The sequence below is a fragment of the Homo sapiens genome, chromosome 4 (genome assembly GCF_000001405.40).
Source record: "Homo sapiens chromosome 4, GRCh38.p14 Primary Assembly".
Taxonomy (NCBI): Eukaryota; Metazoa; Chordata; class Mammalia; order Primates; family Hominidae; genus Homo; species Homo sapiens.
The window spans coordinates 103,044,501-103,064,052 of NC_000004.12; the positions used below are offsets into that span (position 1 = coordinate 103,044,501).

The window sequence follows — 19,552 nt, forward strand, 5'->3', positions numbered from 1 at the left end:
CTGAGTGGCTGGGACTACCAGGCCTGGCTAGAATCTAAGGTATTTTGATACTAAAAAAGGGCACAAAAAAGCTATTATATATCTGGGTTTAGTTGAGTATTATGAACACTTAAAAAACTTGCATATCCTATTACTTTGGAACGATATTATTTGTTTTACAGTGGAATTTGAAATGTACAGAATATAATACGGGAACCCATTACAGGACTGCATTAAAATCTTCTATATTGAGCCCACTTCATAAATCTCATGGATAGCAGTAAGCAATTTTAAAATGAGGAACCATTTGCTCAAACATGTCCTTCACATCTGTCTTTGAAGGAAGTGTTCTAGAATGTTTTCCCAATGATATTTCAGAGCACAACTTTCCCACATATTATTTCTTTCACCTGGTCACGGCTTGGAAAGTACTGAATGAAAAATCCAAGAACAGATCCAGTTGCCACACCAATTACCACCTCCAAAACTCCTCTGAGGACATTAAAGACAGTAGAGCCTGAAAAATATATTAAAAAAACTTAGAGCTCTAAATCCAACAAATACACAGGTTTTATTCCACAATCATCAACATGAAGCATCTAATTACAAAGAAGAAACATTTTAAAGACAGTTTCTGCTTTCCATATTCTTAAATATGTAAGTGGAACCTACATTTTCCCCCATAGCATATAGGATTTAGGAAACTTTAATTAAAAAAAATTTTTTGTTAGCACATTGTGCAGAAAATTATATTAAAGTTTCTCCACACATAAAGCACTTCTTCACAGACTGTCCTAAGAAAAATGTACTAACTGGTTTCTGTGGTCTCTTGTTATTATGGCAATCATTCTTCTTATCTAAATAAAATTACCTCTGAAGTAATTTTATTTAGCTAGGATCGCTTTCTACCAGGTAATGCTATGACTGTTAAAAACATCTAGTTGTGATAGTAGCATTATGCTTAAGCTATTGTGGTAATAATTTACTATGAATGTGTAGAAAGTAGCTAATTAGCTTTAGTCTCTGGTATATTGAGGTGATTAAAAAAAAAAAGTCTTGGGCCCCACCCCTAAAAATCTGATTCAGTAAGTCTAGCAGGGCTCAGATCCAAAAGGTCTAAGGACCACACGTAGTTGGTGGGGGGGTGGGGCGGGGAGAGGAAACACAGCAGAGTCAACTAGGAAGGTTCTTCGAGCTGTAGCTTATGAAAACCCCACTGCCTCTTTCCTTTCTCCTCCCACCACCATGATTCTAATGCAAACTCTGTTGCTCTAAAGCTGTGGTTCCTATTCCAAGCTGCACTGGTTTCCACTCCAAAAGGTTCTGATTTAATTGTCTAAGATAGGACCTACATAAGAGTATTTTTAAAAATCGCCCAGGTAATTCTAGTGTGATGGTAAGGCTGAGAACAATTGTTTTAAAGGTATATACCAGGAAAGTGGTAAGAACATAAATTTGGGTATGTGTAGTAGCATTAAAAATAGGAGTATGAATTTGACTTAATAGGTAAGAGAGCATCCTCAAAGGTTCTTGAACAAGAAAGTAATGTAATGAAAACAATGTTTTAAGAAAATCAATTTACTAGGGAATGGATGGAAGGCAGGCTCTGGAGCAATGAGACAGGGTGGGATTCTAGGTAACAGGCATAAATCATACACAATCACAGAATGGGGAGATAACTATAGGGAGATAACGAGAATGTATAACCTGCCAAGAAGATGTGTTCCCACTACAGAATCTAAAGCTAAACTTAGATTACAATTATACTTTGTCAATCATATAATGTTGCAAATTTTATATCCCAATTTTGAACATAAGATTAAGAAATGAACTTAAACTTGTGCTGTACCACAGGATAATAAAAGTGTTGAACTGCTTTTGGCCTTTTGGCTAAGATCAAGCGTACTATCTGTTCACATCAGTTTAATATAGGTGTTGAACAACAGTGGGAGAAAAAATAACTTAAGTTCCTCTTTTACTATACTTGAAACAAAATACCTCAATTTCAGACACTTACTAAGTATTAATGGGACATCCATTAAAATCATTGCTGTTATTACCCATAAAAAGCTGAAGAGGAGAGAAGAGAAATTTTTCTTATTTTAAAGGCATGCTGTTCCTTTCACTTGGACTGCTCTCTGTCATTTGTGCTCCTTGAAAAACCCACTCATATTTTGTGTGAAGTCTCCACACATCTTTTGTGTGAAGTCTCCACACATCTTTTGTGTGAAGTCTCCACACATCTTTTGTGTGAAGTCTCCACACATCTTTTGTGTGAAGCCTGAACGTTCCTGGATCACTTCAAGCAGAAACTGTTCTTTAAATCTTTCTACCTTCTACCGCCCCTGCCGTACTGCACCTACTGCATGCTACTTGAGCAGTCTCTAGAGGGAGCAAGAGAGTAAAGACAGACAGCTTCTGGACCCTCCTTAGGTACAGAACTCTTAGTGTTCTTTTGCCTATTTTTAATTTGCCTTAATCAATTATCAAGCAAATATGTCATGCTTATAACATTTTAACCTACGTCCCTAGAATGCAAGAGTAAAGCCTGTTGTGAACTGATTAGGTTACCTGTGGAAAAGGCTATGCCCAAGCATGTGTTGAAGCCAGTGATGGCCAGAATGTCATCGAAGCTGCCAGCTGCCATGAGCAAGGTTGGGACACCCTTCTCAACACCATAGCCTCCTCCCTGCAAAAGGAGCATTGAAGGCACCACAACAGCTGGAGATACAGCACCTAAAACAAAACTAGGCAGACAGCATTTTAAACATTTATGATAACATCTTACTTATTACTATTTTGAAATTATAATGCCCTCCACTTTTTAGGGGTTATACTTGGACAACAACAGTCTTTCTTTTTTTTTTTCTAAATTAAGAAAACAAACTTTAATAAGAATTGTTTTTTGTTTTTTTTTCTTTTTTTTATTATACTTTAAGTTTTAGGGTACATGTGTACAACGTGCAGGTTTGTTACATATGTATACATGTGCCATGTTGTTCTGCTGCACCCATTAACTCGTCATTTAACATCAGGTATATCTCCTAATGCTATCCCTCCCCCCCTCCCCCCACCCCACAACAGGCCCTGGTGTGTGATGTTCCCCTTCCTGTGTCCATGTGTTCTCATTGTTCATTTCCCACCTATGAGTGAGAACATGTGGTGTTTGGTTTTTTGTCCTTGCGATAGTTTGCTGAGAATGATGGTTTCCAGCTTCATCCATGTCCCTACAGAGGACATGAACTCATCCTTTTTTATGGCTGCGTAGTATTCCATGGTGTATATGTGCCACATTTTCTTAATCCAGTCTATCATTGACAACTACAGTCTTTCAAATGGCAGAGAAGCATGAATCCAGAAAAACATGTATGTGTAAAACTTCTACAGAACACTGTTTTTCAAAATGTAGCCATAGACAACTTGCTTCAGACTACTTAGGTTGCCTAAAAAGATATATTTATTAGTGGTATAGAAGGCCTAATGAGGGTAGGCCCCAGGATGCTGGCTTTTTTAAACAAAAAAATTCATGTTATAAGGTTTGAAAATGCATGGACTTTCTGATTTGGAACCCAGTGATGCTAGGCCTTCTATTAGGGCTTGCTATGTCAAATAAGGCAACAGATTAGAAGAAAACGATATGACAGTCACATTGATACCAGTAACAACAGCAGTGGTAACAGCAGAAAGCATTTTACAGTATTTACTATGTACCAGACACCATTTTGAGCACTTTACACGTATTCACTAATTTAATCCTCACAACAACCCTATAAAATAGACAAAATCTATCTTAATTTTATAATTGAGGAAACTGAGGCACAGAGAGATTAAATACTTGTTAAAGATCACACACCGGAAAAATCACAAGGCTGGGATTTGAATCCAGGGAGTAGAGTTCCAGAGACTTAACCATGAGAAGAATTTCTTACTTCTTGCCTCTTATTAGCACTAAATTCTTACTAAGTCCTGTCTTATTTATTTACTTTGTGTGGCTCTTAACTGTTGGAAGTAAAGAACTGACAGTGGAACGAAGAGACAGCAGAACTGCCAAGTCATAATAGTCTGGTGACAGGAGGAAAACAATAGTAGCTGTTGATCACTGTTGCTGTGTTTATTATCCTTTGTGCAGACGTTAGGTGGAATCCGGTATCTCTTTAACAGGCATTGAATCAGGTGTAGGCAAAAGACCACGACTTCTTCAACAGTTTGAATAGTAGGTGCTAACTGTAAGAGTTAGCGCCTATTAACACATAAACTATGTTTTGAAGTTAGAATATTTAAATTATGCTGTAACATCTATGTTGCATTTTCTGATATCTATAAGAAAATTCTATTATGCATTCTCTTGTATGCAATCAGGGAAAGCCCTAAATGTCCCTACATATTTTCATATGACAAAGAAACAATCATTACCCCAGTATAAATCCCCATTGCCATGGTAAACCCAGCAGGTAATGGGCAAGAAGAGCAGATGTGCACGCCTCCACAATACAGGGACCCATGGACAGTCTTACACAAACGCCCTTTAACTTCTTCAGGGCCTGAAATAGAAAAGTAGACATCCTAATATAATCCTCTGAAGATGTGCAGAGAAGATGACCTTGAATGCTTTCTCTTCAGTATATGGACCACGTCTGGGTCATCATGAGTTTTCAAGGTAATGAGTTGTATTTAACAAACATTTTAGCACTCCAAGTGTTTTCAGACAGCTTATTAAGTCCTCACTGCAACCTTATAAGATAGGTAATACTATTATTATCCCCATATTTTTAGATGTCCTCATCTGAAAAGGCACAGGCTAAAGGCATTTGCCCAAGATCATGAAACTGGTGAGTGATGGGGCCAGGTTTGAACCCAGGCAGGCTGCTTTCAGCATCTGTGTTCATAATCTCTAGCTAATTTAACATTCTCATTAGTTTTATTTATAATTTGTGGTCCCAGAATGAGACTAAAGTGAAGAGCCTGATCCCCCAAGAAAATTCATTCCTGTATTCAAAAACATACATGAAAAAAAAGCATTAAAAAGGCATACTTGACCCTCATTTTATATATTAGGCAGTTTCCTGAGCTAGTATAGTTAGCCCTGAACACTTGTATAGGGCTTTGCAAACCAAAAATATGTTGTTTTCTCCCCTGTGAGCATTATTTATAACCCTGGTCTATATGTACATCAGAGAAAAGTGGGGCCTTTATTCTTGGTGCTGGCCCCATAGACAGACTCTACCTTTCTCCAAGGAAGAGAATGAGACCGGCTGGGCGCAGTGGCTCATGCCTGTAATCCTAGCACTTTGGGAGGGGGAAGCAGGCAGATCACCTGAGGTCAGGAGTTTGAGACCAGCCTGGCCAACATGGCAAAACCCCGTCTCTACTAAAAATACAAAAATTAGCCGGGTGTGGTAGTGCATGTCTGTAATCCCACCTACTTGGGAGGCCTGAGGCAGGAGAATCACTTGAACCCGGGAGACAGAGGTTGCAGTGAGCTGAGATCAAGCCGCTGTACTCCAGCCTGGGTGACAGAGCGAGACTCTGTCTCAAAAAAAAAAAAAAAGGAAGAAAATGAGACCACCTTTTGAGTTATTGCAAACCACAACAAGGTCTCACTTGCAAAACAATCCTCCATGAAATAAATTCTATTTTATTCTCAAGAATGTCATGCAAAGTGTCCACATCCATTTCCTAATGCTTAGTGATTCTGTTAGATACCTGAAGCATTGAAGAAACAAGATTCCTATTTAATAATGAGAAATTTACATTTCATACCTTTGAATCCAGACCAAGGCCAGCACGAACCAGAATGATAGACAGGGCTATGCTTCTCAAAGAGGAAGACCACTTGTGCTTGATCTGCACATTATCGTTGATGACTGGGATATTTCTGATGAGAAACCCTGCAAGCAGCATGCCTTGAACGAAGAAATCAAACATATCTAGTTAGTTTTCAAATACAGAAAATATTTTTAGTACTTTAATTTTATACAGACTACTATATAATCCCAGGAACCACTTCACTTATGCTTAGAAGAAATTAAGTTAAACTTTTAAGTAAAAATTAGTATAATAAAGCAGCTAAGAAAATAATGTACAGATAAAAAGATAGATTATAATAATTAATATTCCCAAAATAACTGAACTTAAAAGGGAGACAAGATGCAGCATTTGGATAGAGAGTATGATCAAATTCTAAATATAAAATGTTTTAATACAATGCCAGCTCAGTCAGCCCTTTGCGTGCAAACAGCAAACAGCGCATGAAATTATTTGCTATGTCAGATTACTTGAAATATCAATAAATACTTATATGGATTCTATTTTACCTTCAGATTAGATAATTTCATAAGAGACAGATAATCTACTTTGCAAAGGTTTTAGATGTCAATTATGATGAAATGGACATTGCCCTGTCATGTCAGCTGGTGACTCTTCTTTCACTCAGTCATTCAACTGTACTGAATGCCTTCAGTAGTTTAGACACTAGAGTATGTATCACACATATAATAATGGATTACATTTCAACAAGCTTTCAGCCTCTAGGGAACAAGACAAACGGACAATACCAATTTTATGAAGGCATGAGGGGGATGTTACATGAGCTGAGGCAGGAAGGGGGATTTAGAGAAGGGGGAAGAGGATGAAGAAACGGCTAGGGGAGTTGAGAAGTTTCTGGAAAAGACAGTAGTTTATTCAAAGGTAAAAGAAAAAGTGACTCATTCTGAAAACTGCAAGTAGTTGAGTGTAACTGAGGAAGCTGAGTAGTTAGTGAGGGAATTCTGCCTTCATTGATACCACATGCCCACACAAAGGGAAAGGTTTCTGTGAGAGACTGAGCCTCTTCCCTCCATGCTTCTCCAGCAGTGCCCTCTTCTCACCTTGTCCCTATAAGCACCACACTTCAAACAACTAAATAAATTTACTGAAGTTAGGTTATTTTGTGATGCAAGATGGGAGAAGAGAGACAACCTGCTGCACATGAAAGCATCACTCCAGGTATCTCTCATCACTGCCATTTATCTACGGGAAAGTCTCGTAAGTTCTGAATGCTGTGGCAGTGGTCTTTCTGGAATGTTTATTGGGCAACAATATGAACAGGCTTGGTTTTTGGAAGAAATAATGATGAGTTATATATGCACATGGTAAAATTAAGACATTGCTGACAAAATGTAAAGTGACAAGTACATACTGTACCCCAACTGCAACCTTCCATCTTCATTCCTGAATGTATTTCACTGTTAAGGGTCTTCTGTGCCCTTCCAGAAAGTTTCTGTACCTATTCAAGTATATTTCTGTGTGTATAAGCTCTTTTGTGCTGGACACAAATAGGACACTTATACACTGCTGTACGGCTTGGGTTTTTTTCCCATTTAATAATATATCCTGGACATTTTCCCACTGAAGCACATATATATTTGCTTTATTCTCTTTTAATAACTGGAATAGTATCTCACTGTTTGGAAGTTCCATAATTTTTGGACCACTAATAATAGATTTTAAGAAACTTTTCAGGTTTTTCATTATAAACAGTGCTGAAATGAGCACAATTCATACATCAAGTATTTAAGTGCCTGCTACATGCTAGCCCTGTATGAGATCCTAGTAACAAAGAGGTGAGCTAGACCAGCAGTCCACAGCCTTTTTGGCACCAGGGACCGGTGTCGTGGAAGACGATTTTTCCACTGATGGCAGGGGGAATGGTTTCAGGATGAAGCTTTCCACCTCAGATCATCAGGCATTAATTAGATTCTCATAAGGAGCACACAACCTAGATTCCTTGAATGTGCAGTTCACAATAGAACTCATGCTCCTATGAGAATCTAATGTCACTGCTGATCTGACAAGAGGCAGAGCTCAGGCAGTAATGCTCGCTCACCTCCTGCCACGGCCCGGGGCTTGGGCACCCATGAGCTAGACTAATGTGGTCCTTGTCCATATGGAGCTTATATATTTGTAGGTTTACATTAACTATATTCATATTATAATTTCAAGCAGTGGAAATGTTAGGCCCTATGGTATAGGTATATGTCATTTTTATATATATTGATAGCTTAACAGCCAAAAATACTGCACTAATGCTTACATTCCATTATCATTACAATAGCTCTTTAATGAAATTTAAAATGTGTTTCTAAGCCACTCCTAAATTAACAATGGCATTCAATGACCTGAAATCAAATGGAATATCCTAAGAAGAACTCAAAACTATGTTAAGAGGTTTTTTTGTTTTGGGGGATATGAGGGGACATTTTTTTTTTTTTTTGAGACAGGGTCTTGATATGTTGCCCAGGTTGGTCTCAAACTCCTGGGCTCAAGCGATTCACCCACCTTAGACTCCCAAGGTGGTGGGATTACAGGTATGAGCCACTGCTCTCTCTTGGCCTGAGAGAGCATTTTTCATTCCTGAAATGAACGTGACAGCAGCTTCCCTGGGACACTGTTTCCTTTGCTAGTGGTCTGGTTGATGTAATGTGACCACCTGATTTTGATTTGGCACATGTCCCCACTCTTGCCTCTAGGGCCTCCCCTGGTCATGGAGGAAAGAACATCTTCCTGGATAGAGGAGTGTTGTTCTCTTAAAATTTTGTATTATGAAAATTATCAACACATGGCTAATCTCATTTCATCCACTCCCAAGTTTTTTTTTTATTATTTGTGTTATGGAAATTTTTTCAATAATGATTTTTCTTCTCTTCCAAAGGGAAGCCGTTTTCAAATTCATTTCAGGAATCAAAAATGCTCACTCATACTCCGACCCTGGCAATCACTTCAATTAAACTCTTAAAAATATAGAACAGGCAACCATCACATACATTTTGTCTTAATAAGTTTCCTTTATGGATTCAGATAATGCTTCAGTTTTGGATACTGGCCTTAATGTAATAAGAACCAGTAAACTTTCTTCCTCTATGCAAGTATACAACTATAAAAAAGAATGGTAAAATACATATATAATTTTTGAGAATGATTTCAGTTACCTTAGGAGATTTCATTTTATCACAAATCCCAAGACTTTACATCTTTTTGCAACATGGTATATTTTGTTTTTGCAATAGGCATGGAGTGAAAAAAAGACAAATGGGGTGTAATGGGCATTTTCATGTGTCTAGAACAACAGTCTTCAACATAGGTTGCATATTAGAATCATCTGGAGAGCTTTTTAAAACTTCTGATGTCCAGGCCATATTCCATTTCAATTAATTCAGAATCTCTGGGGTAAGACCTAGGCATCAGCTTTTTTTTTTTCTTTTTTTGAGACCGAGTCTCGCTCTGTCACCAGGCTGGAGTGCAGTGGTGCGGTTTCGGCTCACTGCAACCTCTGCCTGCTGGGTTCAAGTGATTCTCCTGCCTCAGCCTCTTGAGTAGCTGGGGCTACAGGTGTGGGCCAACCATGCCTGGCTAATTTTTTGTATTTTTAGTAGAGACGGGGTTTCATCATGTTGGGCAGGATAGTCTTGATCTCCTGACCTCGTGATCTGCCCGCCTCGGCCTCCCAAACCAGCAGCTTTTTAAAGACAGGTGATTCCTGGCCTGGCATGGTGGCTCACACCTGTAATCCCAGCATTTTGGGAAGCCAAGATACGAGGATTGCTTGAGCCCAGGAGTTCAAGACCTGCCTGAGCCATAAAGTGAGACCCTGTCTCTGCAAAAATAAAAAAGGTGTAGGGACATGTGCCTGTAGTCCCAGCTACTGGGAAGGCTGAGGCAGGAAGATTGTTTGAGCCCAGGAGATTGAGGATGCAGTGAGCCATGATTGTGCAATGATTGTGCAACTGCGCTCCACCCTGGGCAAATGAGACCCTGTCTCAAAAACAAAACAAAACAAAACAACCAATGAGAGATTCTTATGTGCAGCCAAGTTCTAGAATGAATGATCTTGCTACATAAAATGCGATCTTAGAGCTTAGAAATGCAGAATCTCAGGCCATGAAGACCTACTTAATTAGAATTTGTATTTTAACAAATTCCAAGGTCATCCTCTTTACAATGAATTTTGAGAGTCACTAATTTTGATGCAAGGGTCAGCAAAAATGTTCTGTAAAGGGCCAATGAATATCTTAGGCTTTGTGGGCTATAAAGTCTCTGTTACAACTTCACAACTCTGCCAGTATAATGTGAAGGACATAGACAATATGTAAATGAATAAACGTGGGTGGGTTCCAATTAATATTAATTTATAAAGAGAATTAGTCTGCCCACCCTTTATCCTAGCATATAGGCATATTTAAAAACAATTCATTTTAGGCGATCATTAAAAAGTCAGGAAACAACAAGTGCTGGAGAGGATGTGGAGAAATAGGAACACTTTTACACTGTTGGTGGGACTGCAAACTAGTTCAACCATTGTGGAAGTCAGTGTGGTGATTCCTCAGGGATCTAGAACTAGAAATACCATTTGACCCAGCCATCCCATTACTGGGTATATACCCAAAGGATTATAAATCATGCTGCTATAAAGACACATGTACATGTATGTTTATTGTGGCACTATTCACAATAGCAAAGACTTGGAACCAAGCCAAATGTCCAACAATGATAGACTGGATTAAGGAAATGTGGCACATATACACCATGGAATACTATGCAGCCATAAAAAATGATGAGTTCGTGTCCTTTACAGGGACATGGATGAAGCTGGAAACCATCGTTCTCAGCAAACTATTGCAAGGACAAAAAAACCAAACACTGCATGTTCTCACTCATAGGTGGGAATTGAACAGTGAGAACACATGGACACAGGAAGGGGAATATCACACACCGGGGCCTGTTGTGGGGTGGGGGGAGGGAGGAGGGATAGCATTAGGAGATATACCTAATGTAAATGATGAGTTAATGGGTGCAGCACACCAACAAGGCACATGTATACATATGTAACTAACCTGCACGTTGTGCACATGTACCCTAAAACTTAAAGTATAATTTAAAAAAAAGAAACAATTCATTTTAACAATAATACAATTAATAACTTTAGAGAACAAAAAGTTTCCATGAGAAATAATATGAATTAAGTGGACTATCTTTAGTTTTACCTAAAATTAGAAATACATTGAGAAATGGGGCATAGTAAGAGATAAATAATTCTACTTCTTTTTATATTTAACTTTAACTACTGACCACAAGTTCAAAAGCAGATAATTTTGGTGAATGTTAGCGAATCCTGATTGTTCTCACTCATACAGCTAACAGAAAAAAAAAAACTGTTCAGGAAATGTGTGTAAATATATATGCATGTATGAAAGGTAGGTGGTTTTTTACTAAAACTGAGTGATTAATAAATCTGTTAGAAATGAACACAAAATGCCTCTGTGGTAAACAAATTTTATAATGCAGAATTCTTTTTTTTTTTTTTTTTTGAGGCGGATTCTCGCTCGGTCACCCAGGCTGGAGTGCAGTGGCGCGATCTCGGCTCACTGCATGCTCCACCTCCCGGGTTCACGCCATTCTCCTGCCTCAGCCTCCCGAGTAGCTGGGACTACAGGTGCCCGCCACCACGCCTGACTAATTTTTTTGTATTTTTAGTAGAGACGGGATTTTACCATGTTAGCCAGGATGGTCTCAATCTCCTGACCTCGTGATCTGCCCGGCTTGGTCTCCCAAAGTGCTGGGATTACAGGCGTGAGCCACCGCACCTGGCCTATAATGCAGAATTCTTTGAAGAAACGTTAAAGGTATCACACCTAGTTTTAAGACTAATTTGTGTATGTGTCTTGTTTGGGCAGTTCTCATTGCCTCTGGAAGAGTATTTTCAGCTATGTCTTTAAGAATCATGGTATTTTATTTCATTTTTATCTTTTTTGAGATGGAGTCTCGCTCTTGTCACCCAGGCTAGAGTGCAGTGGTGTGATCTCAGCTCACTGCAACCTCCACCTCCCAGGTTTAAGTAATTCTCCTATCTCAGCCTCCCAAGTAGCTGGGATTACAGGCACCCGCCACCACGCCCAGCTAATTTTTTTATTTTTAGTAGAGATGGAGTTTCACCATGTTGGCCAGGCTGATCTTGAACTCCTGACCTCAGGTGATCCGCCTGCCTTGGCCTCCCAAAGTGCTGGGATTACAGGTGTGAGCCACCATGATCGGCCAATATTATATTTTAAATATACCCAATGGTGTGCTGGTAAATGCTTAACAGGTGGCTTGCCAAAAAAGTATGCATTTTATATAGGCACATACATTATTAAATTTTACTGATATAAAGGATGTGCAGCACACAGTTTACAAATATACAACCATCTTCACTGTAAATTCTATATAGCCAATTTATTCTCACAGAATGTTTTCACTGCTGTTTGTCAAACTTCTGTGTCCATAACCATCTATGGTTGCAGTTCTACCAAGATTTGACAGAATCAGACTACAAATAAATGGTTGCATACTATCTGATTCAGCAAAGAAGTCACATATCATGAATGAGCAAGTGCAGTGTTACCATGAATGTTGGTTGATATTTTTGCTTATAAGATGAAAATGAAACAATAAAAATACATGTCAGAACTTCACTCTGTCAATGTCATAAGTGACTTATACTATGACAAACTTTGATTTGTAGCATTTGCTGATTTTTTTTGTTGTTGTTGTTACAGATACTTCTACCATGGCCGATTTTAAGCTACAACATGATGTCACTGAACGTGGAGTTGGGAAGAGGTGGCAGTGGCACACCATTATGTAGTATTTCCATAATCTCAAGAGCATAGGTGAGGGGAAATAGACTAAAACATTAGGAAGTCTTCAGTGTTGAGCACTGAATGCTTGTTTTTAATGTCAGTTAATTTTAAGTATATATATATATATATATATATATATATACACACACACACACACATATATACACACACACACACACAAACACAAACATATTTTGAGACAAGGTCTCATTCTGTTGCCCAGATTGGAGTGTAATGGTGCAATCATGACAGCCTCGACCTCCTGGGTTCAGTCAATCCTCCCACCTCAGCCTCCTGAGTAGCTGGGACTACAGGTGCACGTCACCATGCCCGGCTAATTTTTGTATTTTTTTTGTAGAGACAGGGTTTCACCATGTTTGCCCTGGCTGGTCTCGAACTCCAGAGCTCAAGCAATCTGCCTACCTTGGCCTCCCAAAGTGCTGGGATTACAGGTGTGAACCACAGCACACGGGCCAGGATAATTTAATTTTTTAAATTGCTATGTTTAACAACTAGATTACAGAACTACTCAAAATTTAACAACTGGCTTTTGGCTCCAGCATGGCAAATACAGAAATATTTTATTCCTTTATTTCCCAAAGCTTTCCAAACTATTATCTTAAAAATATAGTTTACTCTGGATAGAACAGGAAACATTTAGCACTTACCAAGAAGAGAAGGCAGTGGAGGCAATGTAGGTAACTTAATAAGCCCCAAAAGTTTACCACCAATGATGGCACAATAGAATAGGATTATAATTCCAAATAGGTTTCCTCCAGGAAGACATTCACTGCCAGTAATTGACCAAACTACAGCCCACAGAAGAACAATGATGGTAACTGAAATAAACCAGGAATACTAGTTACTATCAATAAGTTGTCACATGGAGGTTTTGACAAAATCTAAAATAATTTGTAAAAATAAATACTGAATGAAAATGCAAATATTTATAATCATGTTTAATCTGTAAAGAGTATCAGTAAGATGACCAACTGGGTAACTGCCAACATCTTAAGAAATCGGATATTACCAGTACTTTTGAATCTGCCTATGTGCCCCTCCCCATCCATCTCCCTTTATACTGCCAGAAGGAACCATTATTTTGACTTTCTTCACCATTCACTTTTTTCTTTATAATTTTAACACAAATTTAGTTCTGTCTTGAATTAGACATTATTGTTACTTTTTTTATAGTCAATATTTGTTTAGAATTACCTACTAAGGTACCTTTTTTGAAATCATCATTCATTATGGCATCTCAAACTTTTCTTTCTTTTTGTTTTGAAACAGGGTCTCCCTCTGTAGCCCAGGCTGGAGTGCAGTAGCACAATCATGGCTCACTACAGCCTCAACCTCCCAGGCTCAAGTGATCATCCTGCCTCAGCCTCTCATGTAGCTGGGACTACAGGTGTGTACCACCATGCCTGGCTAATTTCTTAAAAATTTTTTAGTGGAGACAGGGTTTCATCTTGTTACCCAGGCTGGTCTTAAAGTCTTGAGCTCAAGTGATCCTCCTGTCTCAGCCTTCCAAAGTGCTGGGATTACTGGTGTGAACCTCCTCATCCAGCCTCAAATTTTTCATCTGGGACAATTATCCTGCTGCCTAAAGCATTTCCTTTAGGAAAAGCATTTCTATAAGAATGTGAAATAGGCCAGGCATGGTGGTTTATGCCTGTCCCATCACTTTAGGAGGTCAAGGCAGGAGGATTGCTTGAGCTCAGGAGTTCGAAACCAGCCTGAGCAACATAGTGAGACCTTGTCTCTACTAAATATAAAATATAAAAATTATCTGGGTATGGTGGTGGGCATCTGTAATCCCAGCTACTCGGGAAGCTGAGGCAGGAGGATCCCTTGAGCCCAGAAGTTTGAGGATGCAGTGTGCTACGATTGCACCACTGCACTCCAGCCTGTGTTACACAGCGATACCCTGCCAAAAAAAAAGTGAAATGTTTCCATTTGAAAACTTGTGTTTTACAAAACTGTGCACTAAAAATTGAAAAGTTTATGGGAAAAAGAGAGTTGGGGCAGACCACTCAAAACTGGTGGCCAAAGCACTAAGAAAAACCAAAACAATCCTAATAAGAGTCTTAGCACAGATGAATCTACACACTGACATTTGTGTCCCATACAGGCAGTCTGTTCTTTACAGACTTAAACCTGGCCTCCCATTTCCTACTTCAAGATGGAAATTCTTGAGGGTATTTTCTTTAAACAGAGAGCAGTTCCATCAAAATCTGATCCATATTTTAGCCCTCTGCCTCAATACAATAAATTTCAACAAAAGGAAAAGCGTTGGCAGCTTCTTTACCTCAGCTTATACTCTCAGCCGCTTCATCCACATGTGTTTTATTAGATAGCTTAATGTTGTAGAATGTTTGAGTCCTTGAAGCCCCTAAACCAGCTACTAATTGCATGAAAAGTCAGCACTTCCACAGAGATTTCGTCCTTTAAAAGGTCCTCATGCAGGGAAGGCTTTATCTTTAATTGTAAGAAAGCATATATTTGGTCTTTTCTTCCCCAGTTCACTTTGCCTTCACTTGCTATTGCTTGACGATACAAAATATTATGGGCCAGGAAAAATTATACACAAAACTGCAAATTCCATACACTCTAACAAAATTCTATTTACCATTGCATATGAGCTAATTCATGACATAGAAACACTCTGTATCACAGCATGTTGTATTTCTCAGGAGAATCTGTTACAGTAAATTCTTAGTTGTATCATCTGGAATTATCTTTATTCTCATTCTTAAAGGATAGTTTTTCTAGGTATACCTCAGTTTTATGTTAAATTCTAGGTTGAGTGTTATTGTTTCTCCATTCCTTGAAAATACTATTCCTTGGTTTTCTGGTTTTGAAGAGCCTGATTTCAGCTTTTTAAAGGAATTCTTTTTCCTTGTTTTCAACATCTTCTCTTTTTCTTTGGTTTTCCTTTCAGTATGATGTGTTTAGGTGTGACTTCCTTTTGTTTTGCTTAAGATTTATGTTTTTTAAAAAAAATCAGTTCTGGAAAATTCTTAGCCTTTATTTCTTCAAAGATTTCCTCTTCCCCATTCTCTTTTTCCATGTTGCTAACCCTAGTTTTCGTATCTTTCATCTTTGTGTGTACTGCATTCTAGATAATCTCTTCACATTTATTTGCCAGTTCACCATTTTTTTCACTTAATCTGCTGCCTAATTTGTCCAGTGAGTTTTTAATTTCAATTACTATCCTATATCTTTCATTTCTAGAAGTTCAAGTTGGTTCTTCTTCAAATCTATTCATTTTTAAAAGTTACTTGTTTTGTACTCATGTTTTCTAATTCTTAACTTCTTTATATATATAAATGTCTTATATTCTGTTTTCTGATAATGTACATTTTTGAAATCTGTTTTTTTGTTTCCTTTTGCATGTTTTTTTTGTTTGTTTTTTTTTTTTTTTTAGTTTTTTTGCAATAGTGAGCTCTCCCTTGGAACTTTGTCTAGTTTGTTTTTTGCAATAGTGAGCTCTCCCTTGGAACTTTGTCTAAAACTAAACTTTTTAGTTTGTCTTTTGCAACAGTGAGCTCTCCCTTGGAACTTTGTCTAACTTTGTTGAAGCCTTAGGTTGAATGAGTTTTCCCAGATGGGAATGAATTTACTTCTACCATGTACTTAAAAGCTTCCCATCCAAGACCATCTGAAAATGTTTTTTGAAAATAGATACATTTTCAAATTGAATTTTTTCTGTGAAATTGGAGACAAATCAGGATGAAGTTAAACATTTTTATTGGCGACTCCACACCTGCCCCAGCCAGCAACTACAGTTGAGACAGGTTTAGTCAGAGGCCCCATCTGCAGAACAGATTTACCTCAAATTTGGCATCACACTGGGTTTCAACTTTATATGGGTGAAGGAGAATGCTTTTTCCTGTTAGACTTCTCCCAACCTGGGCAGGCTCTAGCTTAGCCTCCTGTGCTCACAGCGCTCTCAAAATCAATCTCAAATTCCCTGAGGTGGATCTAGAACTAGAAATACCATTTGACCCAGCCATCCCATTACTGGTATATACCCAAAAGATTATAAAACATGCTGCTATAAAGACACATGCACACGTACGTTTATTGAGGCACTATTCACAATAGCAAAGACTTGGAACCAAGCCAAATGTCCAACAATGATAGACTGGATTAAGAAAATGTGGCACATACACACCATGGAATACTATGCAGTCATAAAAAATGATGAGTTCATGTCCTTTGTAGGGACGTGGATGAAGCTGGAAACCATCATTCTCAGCAAACTATTGCAAGGACAAAAAACCAAACACCGCATATTCTCACTCATAGGTGGGAATTGAACAATGAGAACACATGGACACAGGAAGGGGAATATCACACACCGGGGCCTGTTGTGGGGTGGGGGTAGGAGGGAGGGATAGCAATAGGAGATATACCTAATGTTAAATGACGAGTTAATGGGTGCTGCACACCAACATGGCACATGTATACATATGTATCAAACCTGGACGTCGTGCACATGTACCCTAAAACTTAAAGTATAATAATAATTAAAAAAAAAGTTCCCTGAGGTTTGGTAGAAACCTCCAGGGTGGGGCCACCTTGAGTGCTTACTGACCTCTGCTACTTACACTTTGGTTTTGGTGTCTGATGATTCCCTGTTTTCTTGACAGATCATTTCAAAAGACTTAAAACATTTTTTCAGATGATGTCCTTGGTTTGTGACAAGATTGTTCATTGAGTCTCATCTACCATACTGCTAGAGACTGAATTCAATGTCCCTTTTTCTAAACCCTCACAGAATTGTTCCAGATTTTCTAGGCTTATGATACTACTGCAGTGGAATACCTAAGGGACTTCCAGTATTTTCCAATTAGCTACAAGGGTTGAAATTTCTATGCGATATCAGAGGTAGAATGGGAAAGCAGGATTTGCCAGCTATTATACTAAATTATACTTTATCATAGCATAAACCCAAGCTAATATTAAATTCAGCAAGGTAGAATTAAGTGTTTTCTCTTTTCGGCTGGGCGCAGTGGCTCACGCCTGTAATCCCAGCGCTTTGGGAGACGCCGAGGCAGGCGGATCATGAGGTCAGAAGTTCGAGACCAGCCTGACCAACATGGTGAAACCCCGTCTCTACTAAATACAAAAATTAGCCGGGCATGGTGGCACGTGCCTGTAATCCCAGCTATTCAGGAGGCTGAGGAAGGAGAATTGCTTGAACCCAGGAGGTGGAGCTTGCAGTGAGCCGAGATCGAGCCATTGCACTCCAGCCTGGGCAACAGAGTGAGACTCCATCTCAAAAAAAAAAAAAGAGAGATTTTTCTACTTCAAGACTATTAAAAAAATCTCTCTTTCCCTGTGCTTTACTTGAAACACAGTTGTAAATACATAGCAAATGGTATGTCTATAAGGTTTCTCTAAATCATGTTTAAATCAGTTAACAATTTACTTCTCATTTACGATTATGGAAAACCACAAATTTTCACATGTAAGATTTACTTTTTTTATTTTTATTTTTTGAGACAGTTTCACTCTTGTCACCCAGGCTGCAGTGCAATGGCACGATCTCAACCTCCGCCTCCCAGGTTCAAGTGATTCTCCTGTCTCAGCCTCCTAAGTAGCTGCAATTACAGGCACCCACCACCATGCATGGCTAATTTTTTGTATTTTTAGTGGAGATGAGGTTTCACTATGTTAGCCAGGCTGGTCTTGAACTCCTGACCTCGTCATCCACCTGCCTTGGCCTCCTAAAGTGCTGGGATTACAGGTTTGAGCCACTGTGCCCAGCCTACTTTTTAAGAAGAATACTGATATATACTGCATAGGCACAGGAAAAAATATAGGACAAAAGTCGTCTTGTAAACCTCTGGAACAGAAGAACAGAAAAATAAGCGATGAGATGTTTATCTACCATGAACCTCATTTTTCAGGCTGCTTTATGAACGATTATACATTTTTAAAAAATGTGTCCCAAAATTACATTATTCATTTTTACTCTTTCCTTATGTCAGTCCATATCTGTTTCATTGTAAACGTTTTAACTATAAGTAGGCCATATTTTGAATAATAAAAGTTTAAAAAAATAATGAAAAGAACAGAAAAGGTATTCAATTATCTGTGATCTTATCAGCTAGTGTATATTTTTGGATTCTGGTTTTCTGTACATGTTCTAAGTTTGAGATTTTCTTCCATGCTTAGTTAAGTAAACTGACTTGGTTTCATTAAAAACACATCTAGAGCCTAAAGTATAGTATATTATGCTTATCTTTCATTGTCCCAGATGATAATGGTAAACATGTCTTTCAGAGCCCACAAAGTATAACTATGGAATTGAGTCTCATTTTTCAGTAAACATATGTGGGCATCCATATATTTACTTCAATGATGCTATTATTCTTGAACACAATTTTTGAAATTGCCTTTAAATTTTCTTTAAAAGGCAAATTTAGTAAGACATAAAATTATGAAACTATTAGAAAAAAAACATAAATAAAAAGCTCCATGACACTGGTCTGAGCAATAACTTTTTGGATATGACTCCAAAAATATAGGCAACAAAAGCAAGAACAGACAAACCAGATTACACCAAACTAAAAAGCTTTTGCACAGTAAACAATCCACGGAGTGAAGAGACAACCTACAGAATGGGAGAGAGCAGTTGCAAACTATGTACCTGGCAAGGAGTTAATGTCCAGAATATAAAAGGAACTCAAAAAACTCAATAGCAGGAAAACAAATAATCCAATTTAAAATGGGCAAAGACCTGAATTTTTCAAAAGAAGACATACAAATGGCCAAACAGGTATAGGAAAAAATGTTCAACATTTCACCTCATGCCTGTCAGGATGGCTATTATCAAAAAGACAAAAGATAACAAGGGGTTGGCAAGGATGTAGAGAAAAGGTAACTCTGTGCACTATTGGTGGGAATGT

At 38.3% G+C, this 19,552-nt stretch overlaps 1 protein-coding gene across 12 annotated transcripts in view; it reads right to left on the bottom strand.

Moving 5' to 3' along the window:
• Positions 1 to 19,552, bottom strand: part of SLC9B2 (solute carrier family 9 member B2) — a 59,291-nt gene that overhangs the window by 26,472 nt on the left and 13,267 nt on the right. For 6 of the 12 annotated variants that reach the window (NM_001370201.1, NM_001370206.1, NM_001370202.1 and 3 more), the window contains exons 4-8: positions 13,301 to 13,471; positions 5,740 to 5,882; positions 4,393 to 4,520; positions 2,551 to 2,726; positions 390 to 496 (exon numbers count right to left, since the gene is read on the bottom strand). In NM_001370201.1, coding sequence (NP_001357130.1) covers positions 390 to 496; positions 2,551 to 2,726; positions 4,393 to 4,520; positions 5,740 to 5,882; positions 13,301 to 13,471 — 725 coding nt within the window. The remainder of the gene's footprint in view (positions 1 to 389; positions 497 to 2,550; positions 2,727 to 4,392; positions 4,521 to 5,739; positions 5,883 to 13,300; positions 13,472 to 19,552) is intronic. The other 6 variants (NM_001370205.1, NM_001370204.1, NM_001300754.2 and 3 more) reach the window with 2 other exon arrangements.